General features: G+C 39.4%; 1 protein-coding gene across 8 annotated transcripts in view, besides 1 other annotated feature; it reads left to right on the forward strand.

The window, feature by feature from the left end:
* Positions 1 to 18,785, forward strand: part of AKAP6 (A-kinase anchoring protein 6) — a 508,387-nt gene that overhangs the window by 59,996 nt on the left and 429,606 nt on the right. For 2 of the 8 annotated variants that reach the window (XM_024449754.2, XM_047431967.1), the window contains exon 2: positions 12,705 to 12,848. The exons of the other annotated variants lie outside the window; for them this stretch is intronic. The gene's annotated coding sequence lies outside the window, so the exon portion shown is untranslated. The remainder of the gene's footprint in view (positions 1 to 12,704; positions 12,849 to 18,785) is intronic. 8 annotated transcript variants of the gene reach the window in all.
* Positions 8,970 to 9,264: a silencer, noted in NCBI's record as "tiled region #7175; HepG2 Repressive non-DNase unmatched - State 10:DNaseD". NCBI's record gives its function as "represses a minimal TATA promoter and a strong SV40 promoter by Sharpr-MPRA in HepG2 cells {active_cell/tissue: HepG2}" and the evidence as "EXISTENCE:reporter gene assay evidence [ECO:0000049][PMID:27701403]".

The raw sequence follows: 18,785 nt of genomic DNA on the forward strand, positions 1-18,785 counted from the left end.
TCTGCAAGTCTGTATCTTTTAAGTGGAGCATTTAGGCCATTTACATTCAATGTTAGTATTGAGATGTGAGGTACCATTCTATTCATCCTGCTATTTGTTGCTTGTATACCTTGTTTTTTTTTTAGTTGTATTTTTGTTTTATAGGTCCTGTGAGATTTATGCTTTAAAGAAGTTCTTTTTTGCTGTGTTTCCAGGATTTGTTTCAAGATTTGGAGCTCCTTTTGGCAGTTCTTGTAGTGGTGGTTGGTATTGGTGAATTCTCTCAGCATTTGTTTGTCTGAAAATGACTGTATCTTTCCTTCATATATGAAGCTTAGTTTCATTGGATATAAAATTTTTGGCTGATAATTGTTTTGTCTGAGGAGGCTGAAGATAGGGTCCCCATCCCTTCTAGCTTGTAGGGTTTCTGCTGATAAATCTGCTGTTAATCCGATAGGTTTTCCGTTATAGGTTACCTGGTGCTTTTGTCTCACAGCTCTTAAGATTCTTTCCTTTGTCTTAACTTTAGATAACCTGAAGACAATGTACCTAGGCAATAATATTTTGGCGATGAATTTCCCGTGTGTTCTTGGTGCTTCTTGTATTTGGATGTGTGGGTCTCTAGCAAGGCCAGGGAAGTTTTCCTTGATTATTCCCCCAGATATGTTTTCCAAACTTTTAGATTTCTCTTCTTTCTCAGGAACATCAATTATTCTTAGGTTTGGTCATTTAACATAATCCCAGACTTCTTGGAGGCTTTATTCATATTTTCTTATTCTTTTTTCTTTGTCTCTGTTGGATTGGGTTAGTTTGAATACGTTGTCTTCGAGCTCTGAATTTCTTTCTTCCTCTTGTTCATTTATGTTGCTGAGACTTTCCAGAGCATTTTGCATTTCTAGAAGTGTGTCCATTGTTTCCTGAAGTTTTTGTTGTTTCTTATTTATGGTATCTATTTTCTTGAATATTTCTCCCTTCACTTCTTGCAGCATTTTTTGGATTTCCTTACATTGGGCTTCACCTTTCTCTGGCACCTCCCTGATTAGCTTAATAACTAACCTCCTGAATTCTTTTTCAGGTAAATCAGGGATTTCTTTTTGATTTGGGTCCATTGCTGGTGAGCTAGTGTGATTTTTTGGAGGTGTTAAAGAACTTTGTTTAGTCATATTACTAGAGTTGGTTTTCTGGTTCATTCTCATTTGGGTAGGCTCTGTCAGAGGGAAGGTCTAGGGCTGAAGGCTGTTGTTTAGATTCTTTTGTCCCACAGTGTGTTCCCTTGATGTAGTACTCTCCCCCTTTTCCTATGGATGTGGCTTCCTGAGGGCTGAGTTGTAGTGAGTGTTATCTCTCTTCTGGATCTAGCCAGCCAGCAAGTCTACCAGGTTCTGGGCTGGTACTGGGGGTTGTCTGCACAGAGTCCTGTGATGTGAACCATCTGTGGGTCTCTCAGCTGTGGAAACCAGCACAGTATTTGAAGTGTCTCCTGGGTCCTGCAGGAGCAATGTGTTGCCTTCAGGGGGTATGTGGGTCCTCTCAGGTTTCCTGATTTATTCCTGAAGTTGTTCTGGAGCAAAAATTCACGACGCAAGCCTCCATATGCTGCTCTGTCCATCCAAGTCAGAGCTGCAATCTAGTCCTGCCTCCTGTCCGCCATGATCCCCCAAGAATCTAGTTGTCTCTGTTTTTTAAACGTTGCATTTGCTACTAATGTAGCATGTGCCTCACCCAGCAGGAAAATATCTTATTTAGGTACCAGTGCAGGCTGCTTCTCTGTAATACGGGTACAGGACCTACAGTTGTTCCCTGAGACCCAGATGTCACTCCTCAATGACACAAGACCAGGTGCTTTAATAGGAACTTTGTTAAAAGCAGTTGAGAGATTAAGTGCAAAGAACCTCAGATTGTTCAATGTCAGCTTAAAGCAAATAGCAGATAACATGCAACAGCATTCTCATGTTCAATCTCTAGTGCCTCCTGATTTGGAAGTTGCAAAATTCCTTGGCTGGAGTGTCTCTGCGCTTGTCTTATTTAGATGTTTTTCTCTGATGTCTTGGTCTTGAGTCTTCAGCTTTTTCCCCTCCCAGGCTTTTATTACCAACTGGGAAATCTTGCAGTGTCTTCAACAGCAGTAGCTGGAAGTTCATATCCTTTTTGGCTCTAGTTATCTCTGTTCCTACATGTTTCTAAACAAATATGTGAAAATCCAGTATATTAAGAGGTTTGCTTTCCTTCAAAGCATATTCTTTGGAATCAGCTCTTCCCTGACCATTGGGCAATTGAGAGAGCAGCTCTGTGGTCCACCTGGACTCTGGTTGGGCGGTTTCTCATGGTTAACACCATCTCCCTCGGTGCTGTTGTGGTGATAGTGAGCTCTCTTGAGATCTGGTTGTTTGATGAAAGTGTGTGGAACCTCTAACCCCACTGCCTTGCTTCTGTTCTGGCCATGTAAGATGTGACTGCTACCCCTTTGCATCTTCTGCCATGATTGTAAGTTTACTGATGCTCCCCAGAAGCAGAAGCCACTATGTTTCTTGTACAGCCTGTAGAACTATGAATCAATTAAAGCTCTTTTCTTTATATATTACCCAGTCTCAGATATTTCTTTATAGCAGTGTGAGAATGGACTAATATGGGAGGGAAAAAGTGGAGGGGAATGGAAATGGAGAAGAGATGAAGTGGGAGTGAGTCTTATCTTAATATATCTTTTTATATACTTCTGACTTTTAGAACCATGTTAATATTTCACTTACTTAAAAAAAAATCATCCAGGATTTGGGGAAACCCAAAGTGGAAAACAACTAGTAATAAATGAACCTAACTATCACACATGAATAATATAACAACAGTGAATGGGATAGTGAAGGAAATAATTAAGTAACTTTGGAAAACAGTTTTTGATTATATATTACAAGGTGAAAGAATTGCACACAATGTTCTTTAGTTAATAGCTTGTTTTTCACAGGGTTAGCAATTTTGAAATTATGTGTCCTTTAGAGCAATTAAGTAAATATATTGCAGTAAATAATATAATGAAAACTAAGTACATTGTCAGAGGAAGAAAGTACAAATAAGGGAAGAAGGAAGGCTGGAATGACCTCTGTGATGGATTAGAATTGGAGGTGTGAATATGAACTCATGGTTTCTAATATATACACACAAATATAAAGAAATAGATACAAATGCTTGTGTATGCATGGCTTTAGTATACATACATATATTTTCCAGTTCTGTCCACTGAGAGTCCTAGAAACAGTGAAAGCCCAGTAGCCATGAGCACTCCTAGCTAAGATCTTGGTTTCTAAATACCTTTTCCAAATAAAGGGAACTTTAGCTCCTCAAAGAAATGGCTGATTCCAGGACTGAGGCTGAGAAAGTATAAGATGACCCTAGAGCATCTTATTACACCAGAAACTACAGCTGTGCTCAAGAAATGTTTGGGATGTGTCAAGTAGATATAGGAGCCCAGTTAAAAGAGCAACCACTGGCCAAATTGAAAACAAATTTGAGCCACAAAATAAGTTATGATAGTAATGAATTATAATTCATAGACTGAAATAAATATCCATGAGTTTGTAGGGTTAAAATTAATAAATAAACTGGGAGAATGGAGATTTCTTCTTACAGTAGAACTCTAACAAATGTTGAAGAAATTATGGAAATAGAAAAATCACCATTTATTATTTTTTAATTTTTAATTTTTTTCTTCTGTATATTACCCTCAAAACTGCCAACCATTTATTAAATACTATAATAATAATAGTTATAGCAAGAATCATCACTGGTTGCTAAAACAATTGGATGAAAGTATTTGCATAATCTCAAAATATAGCTCTACAAAATGCCTAGTAATTTCAAAGAGAAATACAGTAACTTTATGTTGGATAAGCCTGGCAGACACCCCATAACCAAGTGACCAAAGTTAACATTATCAATATTAAGACATACTGACATGTTTGCCTTGATAAACTGAAAAGGGTATTTAATATCATTAAATGACAGTCTTGCCAAAAATGTATAACCTGATTTTAATCATGAGCAAAGATCAAACAAACCCAAATAGAGGAACACTCTATAAAATAACAGGCTGGTACACTTCAAAACTGTCATGGTCATAAAAGACAAAGACTGAAGAACTGTCTTGGATTGGGGCAGACTAAGGAAGCGTGACAAATAAATGCAGGGAATGACCCTGAATAGATCCTGGACCAGAAAAAGCATATTAGTGGGACAAATGGCAAACTCTGAATAAGATTTGTAGATGAGTTCATAATATTTCATCTGTGTTTATTTTCTGGTTTTGACAAGTACTGTGGTTGTATAAGATGTTGCATTCAGGGAAGCTAGGTGAAGAGTTTACTGGACTTTCTTGTCTATTTTGCAACTCTTTTGTAACTCAAAATGAAAAGTTAAAATTTAAAAAAATTAAGAAGAAAAATTATAATGGGGAGAGATTTAAGGGCAAATACAGGTTCTAGTTATCTTCTTGGCTATTATTATTTTTGGACACGACCAATAATAATAGAGAAGAAAGTACTCTTTTTCTAAAGAGATACATACATTTGTAAACACTTCAGGTTTGTCATGTATTTGAAGTTATTTGTTTTAATTCCAACTGGCAAATTTGAATATAAGTAAATAATAGAATTAGGGGTAGAAATTAAATGGAAAGAAATGAAAAGAAATCACACAGCAAATTTTGACCTTCAACTTGGTTCCCCTGACTTTAATTATGACATATTTAAAATCAATAATAATCATCAAATGCTCTCACCTACAGAGTCATGTTAAATGATTACACATAATATAGTGCATGAATTCTGCCTTTTTGAGTATGAAATTGACAACTGGCATTATACATTCATTAAAGTGAGATCTGAGTAGAATATTAAATTGAAAGCTATTTGGTAGTTCTCTTTCAGGAGGAGTTTTTCTGATGCTCTTCTTCCAAGGGACATTTTCTGCTACCATCATCAAAAAAATTGATTGAACATCCATGATGTGTTGAGTGTCACTCACAAGAGATATGTTCTCTGATTGCTTGACTCAAATGCTTTATGCTTCCAAAGATTTAAGATTCCAAAGGAGCCTGGCAAGTATGGTTATAACTTTAGGGAGATAAAGGTCCAAAACTGGAGCCATAGGGTGGAGTAGAGTACGACCTGTGGTCTTGTACTTCTACAAGGTGAGATGGAACATCAGTGTCAGAGTCTCAAAAAGAATAAAATAAAAAATGTGGGGATGCCGATGCACGTGACAAATAGACCAAAGAACAATCAAGGTTACCTACTCTGAGAGAAATTTATATTCACATCAGTTCGTAGTTCTCTTTCCCTTTCTCTTCTCTATGCCTAAATGTACACACACATGTATAGACACTCATACAGTTACTTCTGAACTTGGCTGTGCTGCATTTGTTTGTTGCATGTGTCTGTTTTTACTGGGGTGACCTTTGGTTCCTTTCCTAGTCAGCAAAAACATGTAGTTTTACCGTGATTTTTGGTTATATCATTAAGATGGAGAAGTAGTTCCTGACCTGTAGCTATGAGTTTAGTTTTATATTAAGCGCTATATATTTGCCATTCTTAGAAACTAAAGGAAAAGGAGGAAAATATCTCTGCAAAATTATGGGGCAAAACAAATTGTGCGTGTAAATAATTGTGTCTGCTAAATAGCATCACTGAGTGGATCCTGAAACATTTCAGGGCCACCTTGGTTTCCTTCTCAGGGGCCTTGGTTACCACAATTTAGGAGTTAACTTCAGGAATTAAGTAGTAATATGGCGTTATCCCAAAGCTGCCCTCCTAGCCTTTTCCCACTGGGCCTTTAGACCCTGCTCATCCCATGTATACAATAATGGGAAACCCAGGAATATGTTCAGTTCCAAGCAGGCTAAATATAACTCCATCTTCTTTCTCTTTCACCTCTGAAAGCACATGAGAATGCAGAGGATAATAACAAGATTATAGTGATAACCTTGAACCTGCTCTAAGTTATTAATAACTTAGAGAACCTGCTCTGAATTATTTGTATAATATATTCTAGTACTTTATCATTAGTAGCAAGTTACTTTCAACACATCTCATAACAGGTAGATACAGCCCTTGAGCCCCCACAAGAAAGTGAGGCACAGTGCCCCATTTTCACATTGCCGTCTCACTGGGATACTGAGGGTGAAGTTAACCCTCAGAAGAGGGCAGAATTAATGGAATTTGGGGGAAATCAAGCCAGGGCTGGTAGATTAGGTCAACCATAGAACTCGCCCTTATGCTAGTTTTCCAGTTACATGAGTCAATAAATGTTCTCACTTTTTAAGCTAGAAAGAACATCCTGCTCTGGGACAGTTACCTGCTTTGTTATCCAGAAGTAATCTTATGTTGTTTATGCCTTGTTTTCTATGTTGATGTCTAAGGATTATCTAAAAACTTACACTTATTTTTCCCCCTATTTATCCCTCAAAACTTTCCTGGGTTACCACCTCCATCCCTTATACCTCAGATGGAGTTCATTACTTTGGCATTTGTAACATATATATAGTGTGGGCATACTTCTATTATTGCCCACTGCATATTGCATTATGTCCATTTGTTCATGTGTCTGTCCCTACTACTCCATGAGTCCTAGAGATGAGGACCCACTGTTATTTATCATTAGATATTCTTTGCTTAACACTGTGCCTGGCTTAGAATTGCTGCTATACTTAATGTCTGGTAATCTATGGAAATAGTTCTAGGATACATTATTTGTGAGAGAAATATGTCATTAATGAGCTATAATGTGTATATATATATATCAGTGAAGAAATGATCAAAAGACTGCTACTATTTAATTTAAAATTAAATTGTTTCAGGGTGGGAGAAGAGGGAGAATGATGGGAGGAGAAAGAAAAAGGAAATAGTTTTTCCTTTTCACTTACTTGAGTTTGCTTGTGAAATATGATAAATTTCACTCCAGACTGATTGCAATTCAATGCTGAGGGGTTTGTGGTCATGGCTTGCCAGCCTCATGGTGTTTAGCTTTCACTGCCATGTCAAGAGCAGATGACTTCCTTTCCTAAAAGCATGTCCTTGGAAACTCATTAAGAAACTCATTAACTTTGGGGTTGTCTACCTATCAGTCATTCCTCCTTTCTCCTTCCTAACTGAACCCTGACTTTCTTTTGCCATCTACCCCATTTCTACATGGAGCAGGTGCCTCTGCAGGTGGACTCCACCCCTAGATGCAGGTATGGACCTGATTGATCAATCCCATCCTTCCTGCCAGTGATCAGTTCAGGAATGTGTATGTGCTGCTGTTTGGGCTAGTGATAAAACAGGAAAGGAAAGGTGTGTTGGGGAGTTCTGGGAAAGTTTTCCCTTACTCTTTTGTGAGAGTTTCCAGAAGTAAGCTCTCTCTCTCTCTTTCTCTGGAGGCTTTTGTATGCAGATGTGAGACTGAGCTGCCCTTGCCATCTCACTGGGAGCCTGAGGGTGAAGTTAACCCTCAGAAGAGGGCAGAATTAATGGAATTTGGGGGAAATCAAGCCAGGGCTGGTAGATTAGGTCAACCATAGAACTCACCCTTATGCTGGTTTTCCAGTTACATGAGTCAATAAATGTTCTCACTTTTTAAGCTAGTTTGATAAGTGTCTGCTGTGACTTGCAGCCTAAAGTGTTCTAACTTATTAACAAACAAACAGACAAACAAAAACACTTCTCTAATGTTGAATAGGTGGAAAGTGGAAACTAGGGCCAGTGAAAGACAATTTGGCAGGTAGGAGAACAAAAAAGTAGTTTCCTTAGACCAGTGCTTATTGAAACACAAATTTCTGGGACTCAGTCCCAGAGCTTCCAATTCAGTAGCTCTGGAGAAGGCCTGAGAATTTGCATGTTTAAAAAGTTCCACAATGGTGCTGTTGCTACTGGTCCAAGGACCACACTTTGAGAACCACTACCTTAGACTTCCAAGCATGCTGCCTTTTATGCCAGGATAGCCAAGGGTGGTGGGCAAGGCCATGGTGCCAAGAAGTGAGCTCTAGCTATTCATTGGAACAGCCATTGGGCCCCTCAAAGCAGGTTGAGTAGGTAAACCCACATAATGGTACAGAAGTTATCAAAACACTTTTTATTGTCTTTTTTTTTTTTTTTTTTGAGATGGGGTCTTACTTTGTCACCCAGGCTGGAGTGCAGTAGCGTGATCTCAGCTCACTGCAGTCTCTGCCTCCCAGGTTCAAGTGATTTTCCCACCTCAGCCTCCTGAGTAGCTGGGACTACAGGTGCTTGCCACTGTTCCTGGCTAAACTTTTTATTGTCTTCTTAAACCGTAAATTCCATGAGGAGCGAGCATATGACTTGAATATCTTTATTCCCCAATTGGATTTAACACACACTTCTAAGCACACTATAGGCACTCAGTAATGCAGAATTAACTCACTGGAAATAATTCTTGGTTAACTCACTGGAAAGAAAGCACTATTTGCCACATTCTGTGGCTGGATATTTTAAGGCAAGGGTAGGTACAATATAAGGAAGGCCAAAACTAGCCCAGGATGATGAGTATGTAAATAAGAGCTCACCTCCTTGCTAAGAAGCTCCAGCAACTTTTCCTTTGGGGAAAATGCAACACTGAGGTCTCCTCTTTGAAGGCTTTGGCTTTTGCTCTGAAAACCTGTCATCACCTGTCTCTTTTTACTTTTCATACTATCCACAAAATAAATCTCTGATAGTGCTGTACTAGTCTGGCAATGTTGCTTTTTCCTTCAAATATTTACTCCCTCTGTGGACACATCAACTCAAAGATTACAATCAGGGGAACCTCCTGTGTTTCAGATAAATAAACTATCACTCTGTAAGAGAAGAGAACTCCCTCTGCCCTTTATGTAGTTTGCATTCAGACAAATAACTGTTTCTTAAATGAGAAACATAATTGGTATTGTGCAAGGGCTGGGAGTGCTCCCATGCTTTCTTCCAAGCAGCAAATAGTGGCCCCAAATGCAGTGAGGCTCTGCCTCTGATTTGTGATGGAAGGAAATTGTGTGTGTGGGGCCTTCTCCTTGGCTGGAAGGATCTGCTTCCTCTAAGCCTCTGTTTAAACCAGGTGTTTATTTACCTTGAGGCAGGGTCAGACAAGGGCTTCTTGGCTTTACCACTCTTTGCATTTCTTTTAACATCAGGTTTTGCCAAGTGATTCATACATGCTGGAAATGCAGAGAGGAATCTACAGGAGTGGCATTTCCCTTAGCCAGGAATGGATTAAGACAGAAACATTAAATGTGATGGATGTGGTTTGATACATTCCTGTCCTTTCCAGCCATCCACACCATGTACTGAGGCCTCTCCCATGGTTCCAGGCTTCTCCTGGGTCTAGCCAGCAGAAGGAGAGGGGACAGTCTCTGTGAATATGTAAACACATGATAATTGTCAAACTGTAGGCCTTTATAGTGGCATTTCTCCAATAATATAATTGAATTTTGATTTGGAGCAAATTGATGGTACTCTTTACACACTATATGTTTGCCCTTTTCTTTCTTTTCTTTTCTCTCTCTCTCTCTCTCTCTCTCCCCCTCCCCCTCTCTCCCTCTCTCTCTCTCTTTCTTCCTGTTTTTTTTTTTTTTTTTTTTTTTTTTTGATGGAGTCTTTCTCTGTCGCCCAGGCTGGAGTGCAGTGATGTGATCTCGGCTCCCTGCAACCTCCGCCTCCTGGGTTCAAGCAATGCTCCTGCCTGCCTCAGCCTCCCAAGTAGCTGGGACCAGGCATGCCACCATACCTGGCTAATTTCTTTTGTATTTTAGTAGAGACAGGGTTTCACTGTGTTGCCCAGGCTGATCTTGAACTCCTGAGCTTAGGCAATTCACCCGCCTTGGCCTCCCAAAGTGCTAGGATTACAGGCGTGAGCCACTGTGCCTGGCCTGCCCTTATATTTCTACAAGTTACTAGAAATAAATTTTAAATGAAACACTTCTTATTTAGGGAGTCAGAGCAAAAACTACAATAAGTTTGATTAAGAAGACTCATTCAAATATACAGAGGTATGAGTTTAATATGGTAATTCTGAAAGATTGGACTTTGTTGTGAAGTATCATAAAATATAACTATTAAGCTGAGAGGTTAAAACATGATAAAGAGGTTCTGCAGATCAAGAGGTTTCACAAAGCTTTTTCTCAAATGCTCTCCCCATACTCTCAAAAATATGATCAGCAGTAATTTAGCTGTCATCCAGTGTCTTGTCACATTACAGGAAAGAATGGGGATAAATCTTTTCATGTCTTTGTAGGAGTACACATTGGATACCACCTCAAGCAGGGCCTTCTGGGGACTCCCCACCTAGATACCCAAATTATAGAACACTTTACAAAGTGTTGAGAATAACCTCAAGCTTCCTCAGGTTCTCTGACAACTTCTCTTCCAGCCCAGGCTGATTTCTTGTTGAGGTCATACATTTCTTGTTGAGGATGATAGAAGCTGGATATTTCCCTTTTGCATCTCTTTTAAATCTGCTTGGTTCTTTTTTAAAAATAGTATCTATTCCTTTCTCTCGTTTTTAATTCCCTTTTAGACTTATAATAATAGTTTAAAACCAGCTTGTTTTATAGCTCTTCCTGATAATTCTATTATGTGAAGTTCATATTTTGCTGTTTTCTGCTGAGCCTTGGTTATGGTGCTGTGTTTCCCCAGGTGTTTTGTGAGTTAAGGTTGCAAGCTTTCGTTATCTGTGAGAATCCTGTGTGACCTTATTTGAGGATGTGTTCTTACCAAGAGGCTTCTTCTTTTCTTCCACCAGGACCTCAGCAATGACATCTGGGAATCCATTTTCATGTTAATTTATCTGCTTGGGGTTTACCTGCCCTTGTAGTAGTGTAAATCTGTATCTCAAACCCACATGAGGGCAGGTCTGTGGTTATAAATTCTCAGGGGAAATTTTTTTCCCTTCACCCAGAGCTCAGCCTGAGATAGAGGAGGTTCCTTGTTGCTTACTTCTGTGGGTGGATTTTTTTTTTTTCCAGTCCACCTGTTTTCAGAGGATATAGACCTCTAGGGTCCTGGTTCATCATAAGAATCTCAGTTTTATCACCCTACCTTGTGGCCACTCCATGTGTCATTTACACACAAGACCCTTTGTTACTTAGATTGGCAGTGACATTTAGAGTTACAAAAGTTTGAGTCCTTGTTTTCCAGATTTCTCTTTTTGTTGGGACTTTGAGGGTTTCACTTTTCATTCCTGAGAGTTTATACATTTAAAAAATTGTTGGTTATATTTTATGCAGCATTTCCAGGTGCTTGGCGGCAGGAGTATTTCAAGATATTTAGTCCACTTTTAGCAAAAAAAAAAAAAAAAGACAGTAAGCATTCATAAATGTCATAATGCTAGTCAAAAGTGACTCAGGTTATTTTAATAGTTGTGGTCTTCCTAATTGCTGACTCCTTGACCAGTGTCCTCATTGTGGTTGAGAATCCAACATCCATTCCACTCTGCTCCAAACCAATGGTTCACAAACTTAAGTGCATCTGAATCTCCTGGAATTCTTATTAAAACACAGATTGCTCTGCTGCTGTGCTTCAACTCTAGAGATTCTGATCCAGTAAGTCTGGAGTGGATCCTAATAGTTTGCATTTTTCTCAAATGCTGCTGGTGGCCTGGGGACCACAATATAAGAATCAGTCATGATAATCCTATTCTTTCCACTTGAGACTAGTTTAGGAATGGGCATACGATCTAAATCTACCAGAAGAGATGAGGGGAAGTCTGCTGGGGGCTTCCAGGAAAGTTTACCTCAATCTTGAGAAAAAGGCATAGAAAAAAATGGTTCTGTTTTCCTCTGGACATTGTCATGTAAGGACATGATGCCTAGAACTGTCACAGGCCTCTTACCTTCCTCGTGAGAATGAAGCTAATCTAGGGTATAGGGGCAGAGCCAGGAGAATCTCAGGGGAGCAGAGAAGGAATCCTGATAGCTCTTCCTTGGCTAGGTCCTGCCCTACTTCTGTTATTTCATTATGTGAGATATTCCATAAATAGAAAAAAAATTAAAAATTGAAATGAGTCAGGGTTTTCTGGTTACTTGTAGCCCCAAAGATTCTAAGTGGTACAACTATCATATGGGTATGTTGAGTCTTATTACCTGCCACCCCCAGCTACAGAGTGCCGAAGCAAGTTCATTTCAAATTATGTTTTTTTATTTCTTTTTTTGAACTACTAATTTTCTGTGACACTTTTTTCTCTACTTTACCCCACCACACACACAATCTCACCCAGCCCTCTGGGAATATGCTGTAACACTTCAAAATTGTGAATCTCTTGAAAGGAGGCAGCTACTCCAAACTTTCATCTCATTTCTACATGTGGGACTGCAGGATCCATTTCTAGTTGAATGCATGATGACAGCTTTACAGGAAGTCGTCTTCCTTATATTCTCTTTTTATATATTGCTGTTTTCTGGCAACCCTAGCTAATTAATAACTTAATCTGTCTCTCCTTAGACTTTAATTCTAATTTTCAGAATTTCCCAATCAAGTCAACATTGATTTTATTGGAATTTCAAATATACTCTGTGCTACTGTGTTGTATTTTTGGTGGAAAGAATTGTAGCAGGAATCAAGCCTCATGATGCAAATGCCTAAATCCTGAATTGTGACCAGGATTGCAAAGAAAATAAAAAGGTCGCTCTCTAGGGAGTTGAACTAGCTTAGCACCTCCACATGGAATCTCAGAATGAGAACAGTGATTTTTTTCCCTCCTCTTCTGTTTAATCCTAGTTTGGACAGCTCTTTATTCAGAACATCAAGGACTGTTGACAGTTGAATAAAAAGGGCGGAGGCTTATGGGATTGCTAATGAGATACAAAGCCACCTTGGAATAAAAATAAATTTCTCTCTGTTGGCTCCTCCGGCCATGGAGAGGTAAGTTAAGAACCTCAAATCAATTTCTACTGACAGGTATTCTTATCATGGTAAACAGTGCAATGCACATTTTAGTTGGCTTCTGAGAAGGAAGGCCAGGGGCTTCCAGTTGTGTGATATCTTTTCAGCAGATAGCTGGGCTAAGGTGAACAAATTGTACTGATGTGGCGTGAGGCACACTATCTGGTCAGAAAATAAAGTTCTTAGTTATAGTTAACATACAGCATTTTTCCTAAAATTAAATTTTTCAGCCCACAAATTCAGGTAAGTGTTAAAATGAAGAATTTTATTATTTCCTGATATCAAATGCCTTTTCCTACTTTCTTTCCAATCCTAATAATTTATCTAGACCAATTCATAGTTCATGACCTCTTTTGAAGCCTTGCCTGACAACCCAAGCTAGAAATGATATTTCTTTTGAGTGCCTGGAGAACTAATGTCCCTACTCTTGTCTTATTTTGCAAACTTGACTATACAGCTGTTTGAAGGCAGGGATTATATAATATCTTTTCTTGTATTATCCACACAAGATCCACTGCAGTGTTTTGCACATAGCAGTTGCTCAATAAATGTTGGTTGGTTGGTTGATTTTTTTTTTTTTTCTTTGAGACAGAGCTTTGCTCCGTTGCCTAGGCTGGAATACAGTGGCGTGATCTCGGCTCACTGCAACCTCTGCTTCATGGGCTCCAGCGATTCTCTTGCCTCAGCCTCCTGAGTAGCTGGGACTACAGGCACATGCCACCACACCTGGCTAATTTTTTTGTGTTTTTAGTAGAGATGGGTTTTCACCATGTTGGCCAGGCTGGTCTAGAACTCCTGACCTCAAGTGATCTGCCCACCTTGGCCTCCCAAAGTGCTGGGATTATAGGTGTGAGCCACTGCGCTCGGCTGGTTGGTTGATTTTTTATTCCTGTGAAGTATACAACACTGTAGACTTAGAAATCATCCAAGAAGAGGGTTTTCTCACATAGAACCTGTGGATGCACATCAAGGCTTCTGGAAATTTATTGAAATTGAATGCAAAGTAGACATTTTCTTGGGAGAGGGACCATAGCTGTCAACAGAATCACAAAGGGGTTCTTGATTCCTTTCCAAATGAGGGGAATTACTGAACTAGGCTATTCATTTTCTTTTCTTCTTGACAAAACTATTAATAGGTCCCGAGATGTTGATAATACTGTCATGACCTCACAAATACTATAGCAGTAAGAGTTCTCTTGGGATACCTCTGTTCCCATTTTTAACTGTTGTTCCTGAAAGAGAAATGGAGATTAAATTGAATTCATGTGCTGTGATTAGACTGATTGTATTTTTTAAATTGCACACCATTAAAAGGACTGCGTTCTGAAGTTCTGGTAGAGACAGTATATCATGGTAGTTAGATGTATGTGCTCAGAGCCAAGCTTGTGCTTGTATCTCAGCTCTGTTACTTACTAGCTGTGTGACCTTGGGCAAATAACTTAAACCTTCCCAGTCTCAGTTTCTTCATCTGTAAGATGGGAATAGTTATAGTGATCTACCTCTCAGGGTTGCTCTGAGGATTAAATGAATCAATGCATGAAAAACATTTAAAGCAGTGCTTTGCACACATATTAACAGTAAACATAATGTAAGTGTTAGCTATTAATATTGCTGATGCTTTTGTTGTTGTTCAACTGTAGCTCTCATTTTCATGAATACCGATTAGCCATGGTAAATGTATCTTCTGCAGCCCTTCTCACCACCAAATTCACTTCTGAGTCATCACATTGAGGTCAGATCAGATTGTTGAATTATTTTGCAGAAATTATGTGGTTTTATTGTCTGCTAGGTGTAATTCTAAGTTTTCTTTCTTGTGTTTGCTTGGCATTTTGAAATCAAGTTCTCACGCTCTGAGGGTATTTAAGTCATTTAAAGATTACCAGGCTAAAGAATCAAGATCCTTTGAATTTCAGTGAATGTACTTTTTTATCCCATGAAATATTTTTTTTGAAAAATATTAACAAAAATATTCTAAGAAAAACTTTTAGTAGAGTCTTTTAGTCATCTTTATAGTTGTAGTTAACTTGGAAAAGGAAAAAATGAAATGCAAAGGATTCTGACAGATTGAAGTCACTGCTGCCTGGAATTAATTCTTTCCATTAGCCTTAATATTAACCCCTTTAAAATGATGAAAGGTTTTGGTTAATCCTAGAATTCTTAATCCCCACCTTTTGGAGAAGCAGAAAAAAATACTGAAGTGATTTTTGTTGGGGGAGTGCTTATGCTAAGTGAGGCAGTTTGTCAGATTTTACTTTTATGAGTTGACTGTCAAGCATTTGAGAAGGGAGGGTGTTTTTTAGAAGGCTGTGCTGCAGCAGATTCCTCAGCTAAGTGCACATCCTGTGATATTTCCCCCACTCTTCCCTGATCAGTGAAATTGCAATTAAATAACTAATATCAACTGCTCCATTTCCATGATCCTCAGAGCCTATGGAATTAGAATATACATATTTAAGGAGGAGAAAATTTTCCACTTGATGTCTAGGATAATGAAGAGTGATGGAGAGTGGGGTTATGAGGAGTCAGGAGATATATATATATATATATATTAGTCAGAATGTCAGCAGGAAATAGTTGATACATGAAAATTGGGTAATTTTCAGAGTTAAAATAAAACTAAATTTATAAAGGTGTGGGCTGGGTATAGGAAAAGTACAAAGGGTAGTGCAATATTCTTAGGCTAGTAAGGTGAGGGCAGTGTCTTTCCATCCCTGGGTCTGAACTGGCAAGACAGATGGGCAAGCAATAACTGTATTCCAGGAGGGAGGGAGGGAGGGTGGAAGAGAGAAGAGAGAGAGAGAATGTTGAGAACTAGCTGTGTGGGGAGGGCCCCTGATGACAGCTGTGACCTCTGGTCTAAGTCAAAGTATGTTGGCAAACTAGAGCAAGCCTGCAGGGAGGGGAAGGGATAAATGTCCTAACCTCACTCTTCTCTTTTCCTAATCTCAAGCCAGTGGTCCTGTATGAACCCAATCAGAAGCCAGAGGGCAGAGGGCAGAGCTTGCAGCAAATGCCATTCTGGGATCATTTTGTACCATACTTTATTCATATTCTCCTTCCCTGGATGCCTCCAACTCTCACCCAAGTGCTTCCATTTATGTACCTTCCTCTTCTTCCTGCTTCTGCATGCTCCATACTGGCTGACACCTAGAGCAGATCATTTTAAATACCCCTCCCCTTGCTTGTACAGGACAAAATTATTTTCAATAATGATGTCATAATGATTGTTTTTTTGACTCATTCTTAAATTTCACAACAAATATAATTGACAATTTTAAAAGACTAAATTACAATGTTGACATTATTCAAATTTGGTAAAATATTTCATGTATAATCTCAAATTTTCATTTACCAAACAAAAATATTTCAGATTTCAGTTTGCAGTTCATTCTCTGTTTCATTATGATATGGTTTGATTGTGTCCCCACCCAAAATCTCATCTTGAATTATAATCCCCAAATCCCCACGTGTCAATGGTGGGACCAGGTGGATGTAATTGAATCATGGGGGCAGTTTCCCCCATACTGTTCTTGTGATAGTGAGTTCTCATGAGATCTGATGGTTTTATAACCATCTAGCTTTTCCCCTGCTAGCACCCATTCTCTCTCCTGCCACCCTGTGAAGAGGTGCCTTCTGCCATGATTGCAATATTTCCTGAGGCCTCCCCAGTCATGCAGAACTGTGATGAGATTACCCGGTCTCCTGTATTTCTTCATAGCAGTGTGAGAATTGACTAATACACACTCTTTTAAATTTTAAACATAAATTAAAAATTCCAAGTGTCCATGAAGAATGACAGAATTGATATAACTCAAGTTTCAGTTCTTCCTTTTGAAAATCAGTTTCTAATCTACTGTTTAAACAAGGAATAGGTAGCACTCTGGAGGCCAGAGGTAGGAACTGCTCCTGCAGCAAACTTGAATGGTTCTAGACCCTTAGAATGTATCCTGGGAAGGAGTGTAGCTGGCTTTAAGTGTGTCAGGACTGATAGTGTAACGAAAGCTCTCTGAATTAGCTTCCATGTAGAATAGAATACAATTTTTTGTTTGTTTGTTTGTTTTGAGACAGAGTCTTGCTCTGTTGCCCAGGTGGGAGGGAGTGCAGTGGTGTGATCTTGGCTCACTGTAACCTCTGCCTCCTGGGTTCAAGCGATTCTCCTGCCTCAGCCTCCCGAGTAGCTGGGATTACAGGCATGTGCCACTATGCCCAGCTAATTTTTGTATTTTTAGTAGAGACGGGGTTTCCCTATGTTGGCCAGGCTGGTCTTGGGCTCCTGACCTCGTGATCTGCCCACCTTGGCCTCTCAAAGTCCTGGGATTACAGACATGAGCCACTGGGCCTGGGGAATACAATGTTTTTATAAAGAAAATTTTAAAAAGAGAGAGAATTGGAGGCTTATATGTTGTTAAAATTGCAGTAATTCTTAGTTTAAGAATGTTAGCCCTGGTGTTAATAAAAAGCAAGTTGACTTTTGGTCAGTTTATTATTGTTTTACAATTCTCCACAAACAATTCAGTCCCTTATTGTCTATACCCTGGGCACAGCAAAGTAAAGTAGAAAAGAAAGAGAGTGAATCTAGGGGCCGCAGGAAGGCAGCTTACCCAGGACATTAAGTTATAAATTGAGAACTTTCCAAGTCATTCCTTATCTGTTTTCATGAAATTGTCAAGCCCATTAGTGTCTTATCCTTACAGATTTTTGTGACAGCCATGTACTTGTGGTGAGTGCTTGAGTGGGGATGATTATAACAAAATGGAAGAAAGATCTATAATTCTACATAACAAATGAAAACCTTGGAAGTTCTCTTTTTGCCGTAAGACTGCTTCCTAGAGCTTGTGGCAAGTGCCATTCTGGATCATTTTATACCATACTTTATTCATATTCTCCTTCCCTGGATGCCTCCAACTCTCACCCAAGTGCCTCCATTTATGTGCCTTCCTCATCTTCCTACGTCCACATGTCACAGGACAGGCTGGTTCCTTTTTCCATCTTGGCTTTCCTTTCCCATCCCCTTCTTGGCTACCCCTGTTTCCTTCTTCTTTCTTCACTGGACCAGACATGAATTTGTTCTGGGAACTTTTACTAATCTATGGAAAAGGTTGTTAATAGGCTTCATGTCAGATGTTCAGTTGCTTAGTAACCCAAAGGACCTCCTGCCAAGTTTATGTTCAGAGAATTAGACAAACCATCCAGTCCCCACTGTTCTCAGGCCTGGGCTGCATCAGCTCTCCAGCTCGGCTATGTGTGAGGAGATCCCCACACAGGCTCAGAAAGGAGCCTCAGCCTCCACAGAGCAATGAGTGTGAGGGCAGAGTCTGAGCCTACCTGGCCCAGTCTGAAGAGGAATCTGGGGAGGCTGACCTGAACAGATGTGCAGGCATGTTTTCAGAGCTCCTAAAACTGATATTTACTGCATGTTAGTGAGGTGGTTTGAATTTTTCAGTTTCTCTGCTTCTTCCTTTGTTCCGCTTCCTGATCTATCTCTCCTTCTCATTTCAGTTCCTAGTGTTTTTCAGGAAACCCATGGTTTTAGACTTACAGGCTCTCTATCAAATGGTACCATGTAGACTTAGAGCAGTGGAGTAGTACTCATCTCTTGTTGCCAACCTCCACAAACACACAGAAACCATACAAAATCCCCACGGATTCTGGATTAGGATGTATCAACGTGGAGGAGAAGGGTTTCTACACTGGTAGGAGGAATGAATCTGGGTAAAATAATTGCTTTTAATGACCGCTAGGAGTTTAGAAACATCCTACGGCACAGCAAAGAGTTTCCTTGCTGAACTGCAGATGGTGTTTATTGCCAGATGATGTGCAGAAAAGTGCCAGATGATTAGGCTCTTTCTAGGGGATGTCAGAATCTTCCATAACCCATGCAAATAATTGGCTTTCTAACACCCCCAGACTGTAACA

Source organism: Homo sapiens, chromosome 14 (genome assembly GCF_000001405.40).
Source record: "Homo sapiens chromosome 14, GRCh38.p14 Primary Assembly".
NCBI lineage: Eukaryota > Metazoa > Chordata > Mammalia > Primates > Hominidae > Homo > Homo sapiens.